The sequence below is a fragment of the Homo sapiens genome, chromosome 5, assembly GCF_000001405.40.
Source record: "Homo sapiens chromosome 5, GRCh38.p14 Primary Assembly".
NCBI lineage: Eukaryota > Metazoa > Chordata > Mammalia > Primates > Hominidae > Homo > Homo sapiens.
Window position 1 is genome coordinate 61683780 of NC_000005.10, and position 17892 is coordinate 61701671.

A 17892-nucleotide genomic window follows, 5' to 3' on the forward strand; every position below is an offset into this window, starting at 1 on the left:
CAAAACAAATGAAACTTTCACCAAATTTGTAGCTCACTTGCACTCCATGGATCTAAATCCCTCATTTAATTTTCTTCCTTTTCCTACACTTCTTATGTTAAGCAATACTTATTTTATAAGATTCTTAAAAAAAAAACCCTAATTATTTTCTGTCCAGAAGTACCCTGCTTTCCAGCCTCTTTACCTGGTGCATGTTATTTTTTCCTTCCTTCCTTCCTTCCTTCCTTCCTTCCTTCCTTCCTTCCTTCCTTCCTTCCTTCCTTCCTTCCTTCCTCCCTTCCTTCCTCCGTCCCTCCCTCCCTCCCTCCGTTCCTAATCCTGGGGTTATCCCTGCTGCAGGGATCTCTGCCATCTCTACATGGGAGCTATGTGCAGGCAGGTGGCCTATAAGTAAATCATGTTAAGTAAAACCTAATAATTTTCATTAAAATTATTAAAGCACTTACACTATCAGTCTTTCCCTTATGACCTGAGCATAGATATGTATGCTGGAGAATAATGCAGAAAGAGAGGGCCAATACCCCCCAATACCACTGTAAAATCCTCTGTGAGAGCCAGATAAGAAGGCACCTTCTTTGATACCATCCATTACTGTCTATTACTTTACTGCTTCATACATCAAGGCTGCCAGGACAAGTTCAACAGGGAATTGGTCTGACTCCATCAGGGAAGGGGTTTGGAATTTGAATGAAGAATGGCTTGGAGACCAGCCTGCTCTGTCTTTATCCTAGCCCCAGCCCCACGCATGTTTTCCACCTGGTCCTTCTTTCTTGTCATTTAGCTATCCTACACCTTTTCTCTCAAATTGCTTCCTACCTATGCCCTCTCACTGATATGGAGAGGGGAGCTAGGCAATGATGCTTTCATATTACTTGTCTTTAAACACCTAAGCCTGCTCTACAGCCATTGTTGATTGAACCAAAAGTGGACATTTCTCTCAAGGGGAACCAATCCATGGACTGGTCTAATCCAACTAGATGCCTCATCTCCAGAATTCAAGTCAAGAGATACACAACCTGGAGTCAGATACTGTTGGGTGCTTGGAATCAAAGGCATATTGGTCCTGGAGGAATCAAAGATCACCCAGGCCTGGGTCAGCCATTTTTGGCCATGTGTACTCTGATGAGTCAGTCAATGGAGAAAGCTTGTCCATGAAGTCAAGAAAGAGATCAAAGCTGGCAAAGAGATGAGAGACTTCAGGCTCCTGTCAGGAACAGAAGAGTAACCCTGGCTCTGGGTTTTGCAGTATCAGACTTGTCAGAATTCCTGTGGCCCAGATCCCCTAGCTCTTGTCCTGGAATGCTCTTACGCTTGCCTGCAGTGCTTTTGAATTGGTCCCTGCTTTTCTTAAACTGGCTGGAATGAGTTTCTATTCTTCACAACCAAATATGCTTTGTCTAGAAAGTCTCCTGTTAGAGAGATTCAGATGGGGAATTTCAGTCTCCTTCATCGCCCTAGTTGAGTGTCTGGAAACTCTAGGAGATCATGTGTTCTCTTCCATTCAGCTGAGTGCAGTTTCACAAGAGAGACTATGCTGGGAGAAGAAGGTATTATTCTTTAAGTGTTCAAATCTCTCAACTTCACCTTCAAGGTCCTTGGCACTCATCCTCCACCTCTCGCTCTGATGATTGTCCTGCTGTGGCTCTGACCACTCACTTAAACCATCTGCTTTATTAATTGTTCCCTCTGGTAGATAAAAGTTGGCAACACTTTTTCTTTTGTCTATTTTTCCCATTGAGAGATACAGTCTAATTCCCATTCCCTTGAACATAGGCTGGCCTTCAAGACCTGCTTAAACATTCGAATGTGGTAGACATGATGTTTGGGTCTTCTAAGGCTAAATCACAAGAAACCTTGCAACTTCTGGCTGTGTCTCTGGGAACAATCTCTTGGAAGCCTCTGCTGCCTTGTAAGAAATCCTACTACCCTGAAGTTGCCATATTGTGAGAAGCCCTAGACAAGGGGCAAATAATAGGGAGTGAGGAAGGGGGAGATAGGGAGAGAGAGAGAGAAAGAGACCACAGACTCCAAGCACCAAACGTATGAGTGAAGAAGCCATGTTGGAAATGGACCCTAGTGCCATGTAGAGCAGAGATAGGCCACCCAGCTGAGCCTTTCCTGAATGACTGCGACACAAAAATTGTGAGAACGATAAAATTTTTGTTTTAATCCACGTAGTTTTGAGGTAGTTTGTCACACACCAACAAAGAACCAGAATATTCCTAGTCATCTCAGAGGTATTTTGGCCTCCTTCCATTTCTGTATATTATTCTCTAGCCCAAGGACACCCTCTTCCTTCTTCTCACCTCTATATCTTTTGATGATCAGGACAAGAATCTCCCTTTCTGCGAGGCTTTTCTGATTTCTCCTCTCTTCTGCAGCATGTTTGGCCAAAGCTACTCTTGGAACCCTTAGCTTGGGCAATCTTGTGTGTCTCTTTGATATGTTTTAGACTGTTGTGTCCCAAATCCCCAAGGGCAGGGCCTATTTCTTGCTCCTTCTTTTTTTTTTTTTTTTGAATCCCTCTACATTTTGGCAGAGCCCTGAATAGAAACAATTCAATCTGTGTTGAGACTCCTAAATACTGTTGTCTTGAGGCTAAATAGCCCTAATCTCTTTAATCCAAATTTATATTGGCACTAATCAAAGGCTTGTCTGTCCAATTACACATTTTCAATTAGGTATTTAGATTAAATTAGGTAAATTGAGGTAGCTTTTACTTTTTCTTCTCAGATTGCATATAGACTTTAAACATTTGGGGTGGTTGGGAAAAAAACCCCAAGGGGAACAGAAAGAAATTCCCATGTAATGGGATAAATAATGGGCAGAATCAAATGGCATGCTGTAGGTCTGTTTGCTTGTCAACACATGCCTGCATCATTTATGGGAGGTCAGGGTCAAACTCCACATTTATAGTTTTGTTCTAGCTCGGGTGAGTGTCTTTTAACTGCTTCACCTCTTTCTGAAACCTATTTTGTTTGGACTTCTCCCAGCCCAACACAATGAACTCTCCCATGTTCTCAGGACATTTTTTTTTTCATTTTCATTTTCATTTCCATGTACCCCTTGGCTTCTCTTTCATATGCAACATTCTTCTTTGCAGTGTTCAGAAAACTCATTAGCTTCCAACCTCCTCAATTAGGCAGAACAAACATGCATTACTCCAAATTGCCCCGCACTGCGATAGAGACAGAGTTCAAGCAGAATGTTGGCCCACCACCCAAGGATCTGACCGCTGAAGTTTACTTCCCTTCAATCAAATCGAGATCACATCTTCCTGCAGTTTTCTATGTAAGTAATGAAGCTCTTATCTTCAGTCCTCAAAGGATCACTGTTTCCTTTTCTGTATATATTTGTTTGTTTTACTCATGGTGAGTACTTACCTATTATTGTATGTGTATCATTCATTTGTGGAATCATGTGCTGTCAGATTTTCCATTTTTCTTAATCTAACAATCACAAAATCAGCCACATATCTGATAGCAGAAGAACCACATTGAGATGCAGAGATCTTTTTAAATGGTGCGAAAGAGAAGGGACACATTTAAAATGCTCTCCTTCTTAAATGATTCTGTTTAAAAAAATGTGAAGTTGTTGCACTCCTCCCTAGAAATTACAACTGTATAAATTCTAACTTTTCCCAGTGCTCAGGCACACGAGAGACAGGGAACATTCACTACATTCTATTCGTGTTCATAGGTCGTGACTAAGATAAATAGATTTTAGAGAAACATTTATGTGGGTGTGCTCCAAGTGGGAGGAATTTCATGTTCCAGTCTTCCTGCTGAACACCTAGAATATTAGAGGCTTTGTGAAGTTTGTGTTTGACTCCTTTTAAAGGAGGATATGACTGAGGTCATAGTGTGATAAATCTCTGACACGACTGTGTGGAGGAATATGGATCTGAGCAGAGAGAAGCAAAACAAGCTGAAGTGAAAAGTTCGAATGCATGAGGACATTCTTAAAAGCAAGAGGCAATTGAGGGGATGAGTAGTAGCTTTTACAGAGGAGGTGGCTAAGAATCCACATTTCAAGCAGGAATGCCCTGAGCCTTCTTTTTCTCACCTGTTGTCAGTTATACCACCACACAAGGACATACACAGAGAGCTGATTTATACTTAATATCCAATCTGCTGCAAACTGTTCACTCCTCTTCATCAGAATGCTCACTTATGACATAGTCTTCAGTTCCTTAGCAACAAACTGTCATGTCACCCTGGTGAAATTCTGGTCAGCTGAGAGGAAAAGGAAATGTTGAATGGTGATGGAGAAAATCTTTATTTTAATCACAAATGTGTATGTATAAGAGCTGAAAAGACAATATGAAAAGGCAGGTCAAGGAAGCTACATTTGAACAAGTGTTTTTGATTAAGGTTTATGTGGGCACAGAAGTCCCCTTTAAGTTCCTTTTTATTGAATAATTTCCCTTTGATCCTTGAGTAACTAAAAGAAAACCCAGCATTTGACATTAACCTGGGACTCAAGAGCCCCATGGTGGGATTCCTTTGCCTGCCTGCTCCAGCACAAAACAGCCCCACCCAGCATCGTGGGAGCACATTCATCTTTATTTCCCAACCGGGCTTTTCCTCTTCCCCTCTCTTCTGGGTGAGAATGGAGGACAGTCAGCTGAAGAAGTCATTCTATGTGTACTTTTTCTTTGCTTGCGATCAACTTCAAAAGAGGCTGGTCGGGAGACACCAATGACAATGTAAGAAGATGAAGATTGTCCCGGGAAGTATGGCCCCAGAAAAAGAGCAGAGATGACCAGACATGGGAGGTGTTGAGAATTCTATCTTTTCTCCCTGTTTTAATTGTTAGGAATCATATAAAAATCATTTCTTTATTTTTGGCTTTGTGGATAAAACCAAATCACTGAAATGAGAGCATAATTAAAAGGGAAAAATGCAGAATTCTTTTTTAAAAAAGATAGATGAAGATAGAGAAAGAAAACAAAAAAGAGAGAGAACCCAAGCAAACAAAGATTATTTAAACACCTTGGAGCATGCTTTTTAAAAAAAAAAAAAAAAAAAAAAAAACCAAAAAGCAAAAAACCAAAAACAAAACCCTATCAGTGCCATTTACCTGAATTCCCAGTTTCCGTATTTAAATGTCTGATCAATCATTCAGTTCCAATACAGACATGATGTTTGAAGGCCACTTTGTAATGGTTTTACCCTGGTTCAGATTATTTGCAATCCAGGGGGAAAAATGTGCATTCTGTGCAAAAGCAAATAGAAAACATATCTGAGCACAAATCAAAAGAATGATTACCACACTCATGCTCTGTACCCATTACGGGGTCCCCAAGGCTCTCATTCTGTTTGTCTTGGTACTTTCTCTTTAGCTGCTTTGGTTGGACTGGGTGGGAAAAACAACAACCCACAAAACCCTAGGCAGAGAATGAGGCTGGTGGAAATGGGTAACATGAAAAGATGTGACATCCTTCAAGGGCTTGGCACTTCAGACTTCATTTTGGGGGAAGCTGCTTGGGGAGACCTCCTCGGGTTCCCATGGAGGTCGTTGCTGAGTGTGTGTCATGAAGTGCCTGACCATTAGCGGGAGGGCAACCCTGCTCTCATTTCAATCTCTAGCAAGCTCTCACTCAGTGGGTAATGAAAAATGGCATTTGCACAAAGTGGAGAGAAAAAGCATTGTTTCTATAGCATATTATACTTTCCACTGCTCAGGGAACAACATTTCATAACCTATAAAAAGAATTATCTGTATAACTTACTGTGCATGGCAGAAAAGTTGCAATATGGCTTTAAAAGAGCTGCCTCCAACTGCAAAACACACTCTATCTCTCCCACTCCCCACTGACAGAATAGCCTGTGTTTATAAGCAAATCCACTCAACCCCTTAATGATGACCTAGAATAAACATCTGACATACACTAGCTTTCAAGCTCTTCTATGTTTAGGCATGAATTGTTCATTTCTATGCCTTTTGTATCCAGCCTGAAGGAAAGACAAATGATACAAGGGATGATTTACATTATCAGTGGAGGCAGAGGTTATGTCTGTGTTTATCTGATCCTCTTTTATTGTGTAACTAACAGTGAGATAACCAGCCTGGTGCACAATGACCATTCAATTTGAGCCACCCACCCTATGTCCATGTTGACTTTAATTTTAAAATATATTAAAAAGACAAGCCCTTGTATAGTAACACAAGGTTTATTTGGTTCAGGCAGGCATGTAGGAAAGGTATGGATTTCTCATTTAGTGTTAGGCTTCCTCCACACTTACCTTTCCATAAAGCCTGCAAGAGTATTGCCACTGGGGCTTTCCTCTCTAATTGCACTAGGAGAATTGGTACTCCACTTTACGAGGATGATGTGGATGCCCAGCTCTGGTTGATCCTGTACTCTTAGTAGAGCATGGGAAACTTGGAACAAATTTACCTAGCATCAGAAAAGACCACAGGGAGTATGCATGATCCTGGAGAACAGGTAAGCTTGCTTTTCCTTGAAGAAAAATCCAGTCATCTCGAAAACTGTCAGTCTGGCTTGGAAGATAATTTCATGAAACCAACCATAGGCCTTCAGGGAAACCTATACCACAATTGAACATAGTTCCCCAAGATGGTATTCACTAAATATCCCCTTTGGGGAAAACTACCCATTCTTATGTAGTAGGAATTGATTTCTAAAGGGAAAAAATACTTTTAAACTCTCCAGGATCTGTCTAGTCATGAGGGTGCCAATCTTTGAAGTCCTCTTAATCTCACCTGCAGGGGATCTCTATGGAAATCATGGAGATGGAGTGGTGGTGGAAGATAAGCTCATGGAGATGGAATGATAGTGATGGTGGAAGATAAGATGGTTCCATATATCAGGTCCTATGCCCTTCTTTGAATTGGCTCAAAGAATATGGGGTCAGATGAAAGAAACACACTCCACCTCGTTGCTCTAAGGAAACTATAGAACCTGGACAGAATGTATAAGGAACACAAAAATTAAATAGTAGCAAGCAAATTGAGGAAAAAGGCCAGAATTTGGAGTATCGCTGAATTTATGGTGAGTTTATTATTTTTCCTCTCTGATATCTCCCATTCTGAACACAACGTGGCCTGAAAGCCAGAAGTGGGCACCAGGGAGCAGAGAGAACTCCAGGAGAAGCTGGTTCAAGGAGCAGGAGATTCTAACTCTCAGAAAGAGTGCAAAACTCCATTAATACTTTTTTATTTTCTCTGTTCTCTCATACTCCAGCCCCCAAGCAATCTCTTAATGGCAGTAATAGGAACAAAGGAAGCAATGAAGAACAGAATCAATGAAATTGAAAACAGAAAAATAATAGAGGATAAACAAAGAACCCAAAAGTTGGTTCTTTGCAAAGATCATTAAAACTGTTGAAACTGATAGGCCTTCAATAAGATGAAGTGGGGCAGGGGAGAGAGGAGGATGAGGAGGAGGAGGAGAAAAAGGAAGAGGAGGAGGAGGGAGAGGGAGAGAGAGAGAGAGAGAGAAAGACTAGTATTATTGACATCAAGAATGAAAGAGAAGATACTGCTATAGATCCTATATACCACAATAAAAAAACAAGCATCAGGGAATACTACAAACAACTCAATAAAAAAAAAGCATCAGGGAATACTACAAATAATTCTATGCACATAAATTCAACAACTGAGAAGAAATATACCAATTCCTTGAAAAGCCCAAACTATCAGGACTCTCAAGATAAAATAGATAACCTAAATAGTTCTATAACTATTAACAAATGGAATTTGTCATTAAAATTCTTCTGAAAAAAAATCTACAGGGTACAGATGATTTCACTGATTAATTCTTCTAAAATTTAAAGAGAAATGAGATCAGCTCTACACAATCTCTTCTAGAAAATGGAAGAAAACACTCCTAACTCATATTATGAAGCCAGCATTAACCTGATATCAAACACATATGTTTTGTCTCATTGATTTTTGCTCTATTTTTTATTGCTTTTTTCCTCCTGCTTGCTTTGGGTTTTTCTCTTTCTAGTTTCTTCAGGTGAAAGCTTACATTGTTGACTTAAATCCTTTCTTTTTTCCTAGCATTATTAAACGTTTTAAATAAGCATTTAATGTAGAAGTTTTCCTCTAATCACTGCTTTACCTGCATCTGCATCTTATAAAGATACATACAAAAAAAGATAATAAACACAAAGATAATAAAAACACAAAGATAACAAAAAAAAAAACCTACGGAGCAGTATTCCTGATTAACATAAACACAAAAAAACTCTTCAACATATTAGCAAGTCAAATCAAGCTATACATAAAAAGAATTATCATACCATGACCAAGTGTAATCCACTATATTAACAGTTTAAGAACCCAAATCACACATTCATTTGATTTGCTGTGGAAGAATCACATGACAAAATTCAACATCTATTCATGATAAAAACTCTTAGAAAATTGGAAATTGAAGGGGACTTCCTCAAACAATAAATAGCACATATAAAAAACTAGCTGACATGATGCTTAATGATAAAAGATTATGTACTTTGCTTCTAAAATAGGGAACAAGACAATAATCTCCATACTCACTACTCCTACTCAACATTGTGCTGGGAGTTCAAGCAAGCACAGTGTTGAACATAAAAGACAAGAAAGACAACAGATAAAAAAGACAAAATAAGTGAGTCATATATATTGGAAAGGAGGAAATAATACTATCCCTATTCACCAAGTGTCATATATGTCTATGAAGGCAATTCCAAGGGATCTACAAAAAAGTCTCCTAGAACAAAGAAGTGAGTTTAATGAGATTGCAGGATACAAGGTAAGTACAGAAAAATTAATAATATTTTTATGTAATAGCAATGTATAATTAGAAAACAAATTTTAAAAATTTATAGTAGCTTTGAAAAGTGAGATATTTAGCTATAAATATAACAAAACACCCACAGGATCTGTGCAAAAAACTACAAAATGATAATTACAGGAATCAAGAAAGACCTAAATAAATGAAGAGGCATACCCCATTCGTGGATTGAAAAACTCAAAGTTGTAAAGAGGTCAGTTAGCCTCAGACTGATCTGTAGATTTAACACAATTCCAATCAAAATATCCTACCTGGCATTTTTGTAGGTAGAGACAAGTTGATTCTAAAATTTATATGGAGACTATCCATTCTCCATTGTGCATTTTTGGCACTGTTGTTGAAGATCAGATGACTGTATATATGTGGATCTATTTCTCAACCCTCACTTCTGTTCCATTGATCTATATACCTGTTTTTATGCCAATACTATACTGTTTTAATTATTGTAGCTTTGCAATATATTTTTCAATCAGGAAGTGTGATGTCTCCAGCTTTGTGCTTCTTTCTCAAGACTGATTTGGCTATTTGGAGTCTTTTGTGGCTTCATGTGAATTTTAAAATTGTTTTATCTATTTTTGTAAAAAATGCCATTTGGGATTTTGATACGGATTACATTGACTCTATAGGCCACTTTTGGTAATAGGGACATTTTAACAATATTAAGTCTTCTGATCCATGAATACATAATATCTTTCAATTCATTTATGTATTTCTTTCTTTCATCAATGCTTTATAGTTTTCAGTATATAACTCTTTCATCTCCTTGGTTGCCTATTCCTAAGTATTTTAATTATTGATGTTACTGTAAATGGAATTGTTCTTAATTTCCTTTTTGGATAGTTCATTATTAGCCTATAGAAATGCAACTGATTTTTGTACCTGCAACTTTATTGAATTCATTTATTAGTTCTAATAGGTTTTTGTGGAGTCTTCATGGCTTTCTACACATAAGATCATGCCATCTGTAAAGAGGTAATTTTATTTCTTCCTGTCTGATTTGGATGACTTTTATTTCTTTTTCTGGCCTGGCTACGACTTCCTGTACAATGTTGCCTAGAAATACTTTCAGTGCTATGTTGAGAGTGAGCATCCTTGCCTTGCTGATCTTACAGGAAAAGCTTTTGTTAATTTACCATTGAGTCTGACATCACTGTGAGCTTTTAATATACAGCCTTTATTAAGTTAAGGTAAATTCCTTCTACACCTAGTTTGTTGAGGGTTTCTTTTTTTTCATGAAAGGATTTTTAATTTTGTTAAATGCGTTTTCTACATCTTTTGGGATGATCATGTAATTTTGAATCCTTTTTAAATGTCCTGTATTACTTTAATTGCTTTGCATATGTTGAACCATCCTTGCATCCCAGGGATAAATCCTACTTCATCATGGTATATGGCCTTTTAAATTTATTAAGAAGACTGTATGTATACATGTGAAAGAATGAAATTGTACCCTTATCTGACACCATACATATAAATCAATGCAAAATTGGTTAAAGATTTAAACATAAGACCTGAAACTTTAAAACTCCTAGAAGCAAACATTGAGGAAAAGCTTCATGACATTGGTCTTGGCAATGATTTCTTGGATATGACATCAAAATCACAAGCAACAGAAGCAAAAATAGACAAGTGGGACTACATCAAACTGAAAAGATACTGTATAACAAAGGAAACAATCAACAGACTGGGAGAAAATATTTGCATACCATATTCTGATAAGAGTTTAGTATCTAAAATAAGATTAAAAAACACCTTCAGCTGAATAGCATAAAAATAAAATAACCCAACTAAAAAATTGGCAAAGAACCTTGAATAGACATACCTCCTAAGAACATATACAGAGATATCTGCATTTCCATGTTTGTTGCAGCGTTATTCATAATAGCCAAGATATGGAATCAACCTAAGTGTCTGTCAACAGATGAATGGATAAATAAAAGGTGGTATTTATACACAATGGAACACTATTTAGCCTTAAAATAGAAGTAAATCCTGCCATATGTGACAACATGAATGAACCTGAAGGACATTATGCTAAGTGAAAGAAGCCAATCACATAAAAACAAATGGCTGTATGATTTCACTTATAAGAGATATCTAAAATAGCCAAATACATAAAATAAGAGAGTAGGACTGTAGTTGCCAGGGATAAAGAGAAGAGGGCAATGAGGGATTCGTCTTCAATGGGTATGAAGTTTCAGTTATGCAAGACAAACATGTTCTAGAGATCTACTGTACAATATTGTGCCTACAATTAATATTGTGCACTTAAAAACTTAAAAGGGTAGATATGTTGACATGTTAAGTGTCCTTACAACAGTGAAAAAAATAATATATCTGTTATAAACATTTAAAAAACAAAAAGTAAAGTCATAAAAAGTTTATATGAAAATTCAAAGCAATTATTTTAGTATTTGAAAACAGAATAAGACTGGAGGAATCACACCACCCGACAATAAGACTAATTATGAAGCTAGAGTAATTAAGACAGTATGGTATTGACAAAGGAAAAGGTTCAGGATTGTTGGAAGAGAATAGAGTCTAAAAATAGACCCCAAAACAGACAGCTAATTGATTTCTGACAAAGGTGCACAAACAGTTCAATGGAGAAAGAATAATGTTGTCAACAAATGGTATTAAAACAGTTGAAAACCTATATGCAAAAAAAGAACCCTGACTTAAACCTCATACTTCATACAAAAATTAACTCCAAATGGATTATAGACTTAAATATAATAGGTAAAACTATAAATCTTTTAGAAAAAAACCTAGAAAAAAATCTTATTATCTGTTATTATGCAGAGTTCTTAGACATGACTCCAAAAGCACAATTTATTTTTAAAAATTGACAAATGGACTTTATCAAAATTAAGAACTTTTACTCTGTGAGAGATCTATCTTGGAGAATGAAAAGTCAATACACACACTGGGAAAATACATTTTCGAATTACCTATCTGGCCAAGGACTTGTATCTAGAATAGGTAAAGATTATTCAAAACTTAACATGAAGAAAACAGTTAACCCACTAAAAAATGGGCGAAGGTTTTGAACACATCACCAGTGAGGACATAAAGAAGGCAAATAAACACTTAAGTAGATGTTCAATATCATTAGTCATAAGGGAAATATAAATTAAAACCACAATTAGCTACCACTACAAATGTAGTGCACTTAAAAACTTAAGAGGCTAAGTTGCCACCACAAATGTAGTGATAGCTAATTGTAGTTTTAACTTCTATCTATTGAAGTAAAAGAAAAATGTTGACAACACAAAGTGCTGGTGAAGATGCAGAGCAAATGAAACTCTCACACATTGTAGGTGGGGATGCAAAATGCAGGACCCATCCTGGAAAACAGTTTGGAAGTTTCTTACAAAGTTAAACATGCACTTACCATATGACCCAGCAATCCTGCTCCTGTGTGTTTACCCTAGAGAAATGAAAACTTATGTTTTTATGAAAGCCTACACATGAATGTTTTTAGCAGCTTTTTTTTTTGAGGCCAAGTCTTCTCACTTTGTTACCCAGGCTGGAGTGCCGTGTCATGGTCATGTCTCACTGCAGCCTTGACCTCCATGGCTCAAGTGCACACCTGGCTAATTTTTGTATTTTTTGTAAAGACGGGATTTCACCATGTTGCCCAGGCTGGCCTCAAACTCCTGGGCTCAACTGATCCTCTCACCTTGGCCTTATAGGCATGAGTCACCGTGCCTGCCAAAAGCTTTCATCCTAATTGCTCCAATCTGGAAATACTTTGAGTGTGCTTCAATGGATGAATGGACAAACAAACTGTGGTACATCCATACATTGGAATATTTACTCAGCAATAAAAAGCAACAAGTGGATGAATCTCAGAGGCCTTTGAAAGGCATTATGCATGGAAGAATCCAGTCTCGGCTGGGCGTGCTGGCTCACGCCTGTAATCCCAGCACTTTGGGAGGCCAAGGCAGGCGGATCACGAGGTCAGGAGATTGAGACCATCTTGGCTCACACGGTGAAACCCCGTCTCTACTAAAAATACAAAAAATTAGCTGGGCGCAGTGGCAGGCGCCTGTAGTCCCAGCTACTCGGGAGGCTGAGGCAGGAGAATGGCGTGAACCCGGGAGGCGGAGCTTGCAGTGAGCCAAGATATTGCCACTACAGTCCGGCCTGGGCGAAAGAGCGAGACTCCATCTCAAAAAAAAAAAAAAAAAAAGAATCCAGTCTCAAAAGATTATATACTATATGATTCAATTTCTATGGCAGCCTCAAAAAGACACGATGAATGGAGAACAGATCAAAGGGATACCATGGGCCAGGTGCAGTGGCTCCCGCCTGTAATGCCAGCAGTTTGGGAGGCTGAGGAAGGCAGATCACTTGAGATGAGGAGTTCAAGACCAGCCTGGCCAACACTGGAGACACCTCATCTCTACTAAAAACACAAAAACTAGCCAGGTGTGGGGGCACATGCCTGAAGTCCCAGCTACTCAGGAGGCTGAGGCAGAAGAATTGCTTGAATGTGGGAGGCAGAGGTTGCAGTGAGCTGAGATCACGCCACTGCACTCCAGCCTGGGTGACAGAGTGAGACTCCATCTCAAAAACAAACAAACAAACAAACAAACAAACAAACAAACACACGGGATGCCATGAGGGAGTTTTTTAGGGCAATGGAATTGTTCTGTATCCTGATTGTGGTAGTGGTTTTATATGTATATTATACAATGACTGAAATTCATAGACCTGTAAATATATACAGACACAAAGTCAGTTTTACTCTATAATGATCACAAAAGTAATCTAGGGAGCATAGCTGTGAAGTGTTCCCTAATAGGTCCTCCCAACCTCCTTCTCCTTAGGGGGTCCAAGGCCTTTCCTTCCTCTCCTTGCTTCTGGATTCTGTCTCATAGTGCTCTTCTGTTTCCCTCCCAGTCTTGGCACTACCAGGCTGTAGCGCTTCATCCAGGTCTTGTCTGGGGCCGTGGCTCTGTGACTTTGTTCCACACTCTTCTTAGTCAAGAACAGCCACCAAAATCTACTGGGTTTTCAGCCAGTTCCCTCGAAAAACAAGCAAGCTACAACAAAAACAGAAGTCATCTTTGATTTCTCTTTCTTCTACCTCCATATCCTATTTATTAGTGAGTATTGCCAGTTCTGCTTTCAAAATAGGTCCTGAACCTAATCCCTGCAGCCACCTCTGTCTAGGCCATTGCCATCTTAGGCCTTAGCTACTGCAACAGGGTTCTATCTCGTCTCCCTGCTTCCACTTCTTCCCTGCTATTGTCTATTCCCAATGCAGCAATCAGAGTAATCCCACGAAAACACATACCATGTCATTTCTACTTACAGTCCTCGAAAATCTTCCCAGTGTATTTAGAATAAAAGCCAAGTACCGTCCCACGGCCTCCACAGGGCTGGCCTCCTCCCCCTGCTTCCTCTGGTATTGTGCCCTGGCCACGCTGACCTTCTTGCTCTTTCCAGGATATGTGATGCTTATTCCCACTTCAGTGCTATTTTTTCTGCCTGGAACTGGCTTATCCCAGAAATCTGCATGGTCGCTACTTCAGATATTTCAAGACTCAGCCCTAAAGTCACTTCCTCAGAGAGAGCTCCTCTGCCCGTTTGTTTCAAATAGCTTCCCCAGGCTTCCAGTCTCTCTCTAGCCCCTTAATCTGATTTATCTTCTCTCAGCACTTAACCACCTCGTGCAAGGATGCTGGCTTCCCATGGCAACATAGAATCCACACTCATTACATCCTAGAATGTGCTATGCGACCTGGTTCGCGCCTCCCCTCTGACATAACCCTCTGCTCCTGAGGGGCAATTCCCTTTGCCGTGCCACTCCCTGTGCACCCCTCTAGACACACTGACTTCCTTGTGTTCCCGGAACAAAGCAAGCATGCTTCCACCTCGGAATCTTTGCATTTGTGATTCCATCTCCCTGGAATGCTGTTCCTCCATAGAGCTTCCTAGCACATTCTCTGCTCAAATGACACTTAATCAGAGACTTTCTTGACCATCGTATATAAAATAGCAAGCCCTTCATCATTCTGTACTCCTCTTATCTGTCTTATTTTTCATGGCATTTATAACTACCTGGTGTGTGTATAGCTATTCATCTGTTATGTGTTCTTAGCTCCCTGTACTAGGCTGTCAGCCTGCAGGGAGCCACGACTTTGTTTTGTCCACTATTGTCTTTCTCTGTGAGTCTCAGCCTCATTCATACCAATGTTGCTTTGAGGATGGCTGGGTGCAGGGAGGCACTGGAGTACCAAGAGCCCTGGAGAGACCCCTGGCCATGCGGCTGTTGTTCCTTGTCTGTCTCTCTCACCCGCATGTAAGCTCGATATTGGCGGTGACCGAGAGGCAGGGCCCAGTGCATAGTGGGTGCTCAAGAATAGTTGTAGAATGAATGAATAAATGATAGAGGCCTTTGGATATTTAAAAAGGATGTTTTGGCTTTTAAAAGGAACTTTCCATGTTTTAAAACCTAAATGCAGAATAATGGTATGAATTGGCCAGTGAGGAATTATCTTATGTGAAGTTTACTGCTAACATTTAAACATTTTCCCCTGCCTAGTAAAGACTTTTTGATGTCTTCCCATTGTTCTTAGGGTCATAATGCACTTTAAGATGGCTCCTGCCCCTTTGTCAGCCCACTTTCCCTTGCTCTGGGTCTCAGTCACACAACTCTCCTTTCAATTTCTCCTACTCGTGTTCCCTCCCAGTCCAGGGCCTCTGCCTGCAAGACTTCCTCTGTCTGGATGCTCTGGTCCCCACCCTCCCCAGAGTTAACTCCTCCTCACCCTCCCCATCTCCGCTAAAGCCTCAGATCTTCAAGGGAAGCCCTCCCTGACACTCAGGCAAGGTTAATGTGCCCTCAAATCACCAGGCACCTCTGATGTACACCCCAGATCCCAGGTGTGGCCTAACATGTGTTTGTGTGATTATATAGTTAACGCTCCCATGAGGGGGAACTGGGTCTGCCTTTACTTCACCATTAACTTCTCTGTAAACTAGCACTTCTGCAAACAGAATAGGCTTTAAAACAATATTTGTAAGGCCAGGTGCGGTGGCTCACGCCTGTAATCCCAGCAGTTTGGGAGGCCGAGGTGGGCAGATCACGAGGTCAGGAGATCGAGACCATCCTGGCTAACACGGTGAAACCCCGTCTCTACTAAAAATATAAAAAGTTAGCTGGGCGTGGTGGCGGGCGCCTCTAGTCCCAGCTACTCGGGAGGCTGAGGCAGGAGAATGGTGTGAACCTGGGAGGCAGAGTTTGCAGTGAGCCGAGATCACGCCACTGCATTCCAGCCTGGGCAACAGAGCAAGACTCCATCTCAAAAAAAAAAAAAAATTTGTAAAATGAAAACATTACTTAATTAATGATATAAAAGCGACTTTTTTATATAGCCTCAAGTTTAGTGTAAGGCAGTGAAGGTAATTGTTAAAACAAAAGTCAAGGAAACCCGTTAAGCTCTTAACCCCCTGGTACTGTTAAAAGATGAGAGATGCTGTAGTGTAGACAAGTTAGGACACCAGGCAGGTGAGTTTCCAGGGGCAGAGAGAGGAGATGAGCTTCACAGCTGCTGAGACCTGTCCCTCTGACTTGGGCAGGCATCATCGTTATTTGAAAGTACAACAGGGCCAAACCTTCAATCCAGTAACACAGCTGGTGCTCAGATTTTTTTTTTTAAACAACATCATGTGGAATTTTCTTTATGTCTTTCTACTAAAACTCAAAGGATGGGAATAAGAATAGAAGAGATCATTGAAATCAGCTCAACATAAGGTAACCTTTGAGCAGTCAGCTGTGTCCCACTGTGAACTGCCTGGCCACGAGTGTGCGTGGGGGAGAAGGGGGTGCAGAGGTCAAGGTGTCTCTCCTTGTCGGGGATGGTGTGGAGGTGATGGTGTCAGGGATGGTGTTCTCAGGTCAAGAGGAGCAGGATCTGTCTGGTGACTTTTAACATGCCTTTCCACCTGGAAACCCCTCAGAGTTTATGTTCATCCTTTGTGTTAGTCAAAGCTTAAATCCCCTTCCTTACCTAACCTTTGCTAGAAAGATGAAATCAGTATTTGCCTGGCCTGCTGCTCATTGGAATCACATGGGGAGGGAGCCTAGCACCCACTTGAGACTAGTTAAATTAGAATATGTGGTGTGGGGCCCAGATATAGGTATTTTTAAAAAGCTCTTAAGTAATTCTAAAGTGCAGCCAGAGTTGACAGCCACTGTAAAACAGGTAGTGCTGTGGACAGGTTTCCTTTTTCCTTCTCCTCTGATGCTCACTCGGTTCTCAGGCTGAATCAAGCTTGGCCAAGCCATGGCCCACAGCCCGCAGGCAGCCCAGGACAGCTTTGAATGCGGCCCAACACAAATTCATAAACTTTCTTAAAACATAATGAGATTTTTCCGTCATTTTTTTTATTAGCTTATCAGCTTTCATTGGTGTTAGTGTATTTTATGTGTGGCCCAAGAGAATTCTTCTTCCAATGTGGCCCAGGGGGAGCCAAAAGATTGGCTACCCCTGGGCTAAATGATCATAATGTGTGGCAGGCAGACTTCTGAGATGGTCACCAACAATCCTGTCTCCTGGCATTCCTGGCCTTGTGTAGGCCCTGACTCCTGGAGTGCACACTGGACTTGAACTCAGGTCCACTTAACCATCAGAGTAAAATGGCTAAGACTTTCAGAAGAGTGGGGAAGGGGAGCTAAAGAGTCCTGCATGAACTGAAAACTTGCATGCTCAATCTACAGTTATCAATGACCTCCGTCACTGCAGGTCCCTCCCCCAGCTCTAACCCCAACCCAAGGGGGATGACTTAGGGCTTGTTGGCCCTTTGGTACCCTAAGCATCCTGGCTAGAACCTTTCTTCAAGATTCTGCCCTTCTCCTTCTTTTGATCTTCTCTTGACCGCACCTGCCGGTCTGAACTGGGAGCTGGCATGGCACCTCTGTCTCTCTCAGCTAGAGAAAACCATCCTCTCATAGCAGAGCCAATCAGAACAATGTTCTCCATAGTGTGGCTTAGGAGCTGCTTCTCTGGATCATGATTACATTCATTGCCACGGTGTGAACTCAAGCACCAGGGGCCAAGGTCTTTCCA

The 17892-nt window shown here is 40.4% G+C and overlaps 2 long non-coding RNA genes across 5 annotated transcripts in view; one reads left to right on the forward strand and one right to left on the reverse strand.

Annotated features, from left to right (window-relative positions):
* The window catches only part of LINC03152 (long intergenic non-protein coding RNA 3152), a 35276-nt gene extending 20623 nt beyond the window's left edge, over positions 1-14653 (reverse strand). The window contains exons 1-5 of the long non-coding RNA NR_109910.1: positions 14133-14653; positions 13631-13860; positions 12204-12239; positions 5083-5217; positions 4066-4235 (exon numbers count right to left, since the gene is read on the reverse strand). This is a non-coding gene — a long non-coding RNA (long intergenic non-protein coding RNA 3152). The remainder of the gene's footprint in view (positions 1-4065; positions 4236-5082; positions 5218-12203; positions 12240-13630; positions 13861-14132) is intronic.
* The window catches only part of LINC03122 (long intergenic non-protein coding RNA 3122), a 93238-nt gene that overhangs the window by 46020 nt on the left and 29326 nt on the right, over positions 1-17892 (forward strand). Inside the window, exon 3 of one of the 4 annotated variants that reach the window (NR_161251.1) lies at positions 3104-3291. The exons of the other annotated variants lie outside the window; for them this stretch is intronic. This is a non-coding gene — a long non-coding RNA (long intergenic non-protein coding RNA 3122). The remainder of the gene's footprint in view (positions 1-3103; positions 3292-17892) is intronic. 4 annotated transcript variants of the gene reach the window in all.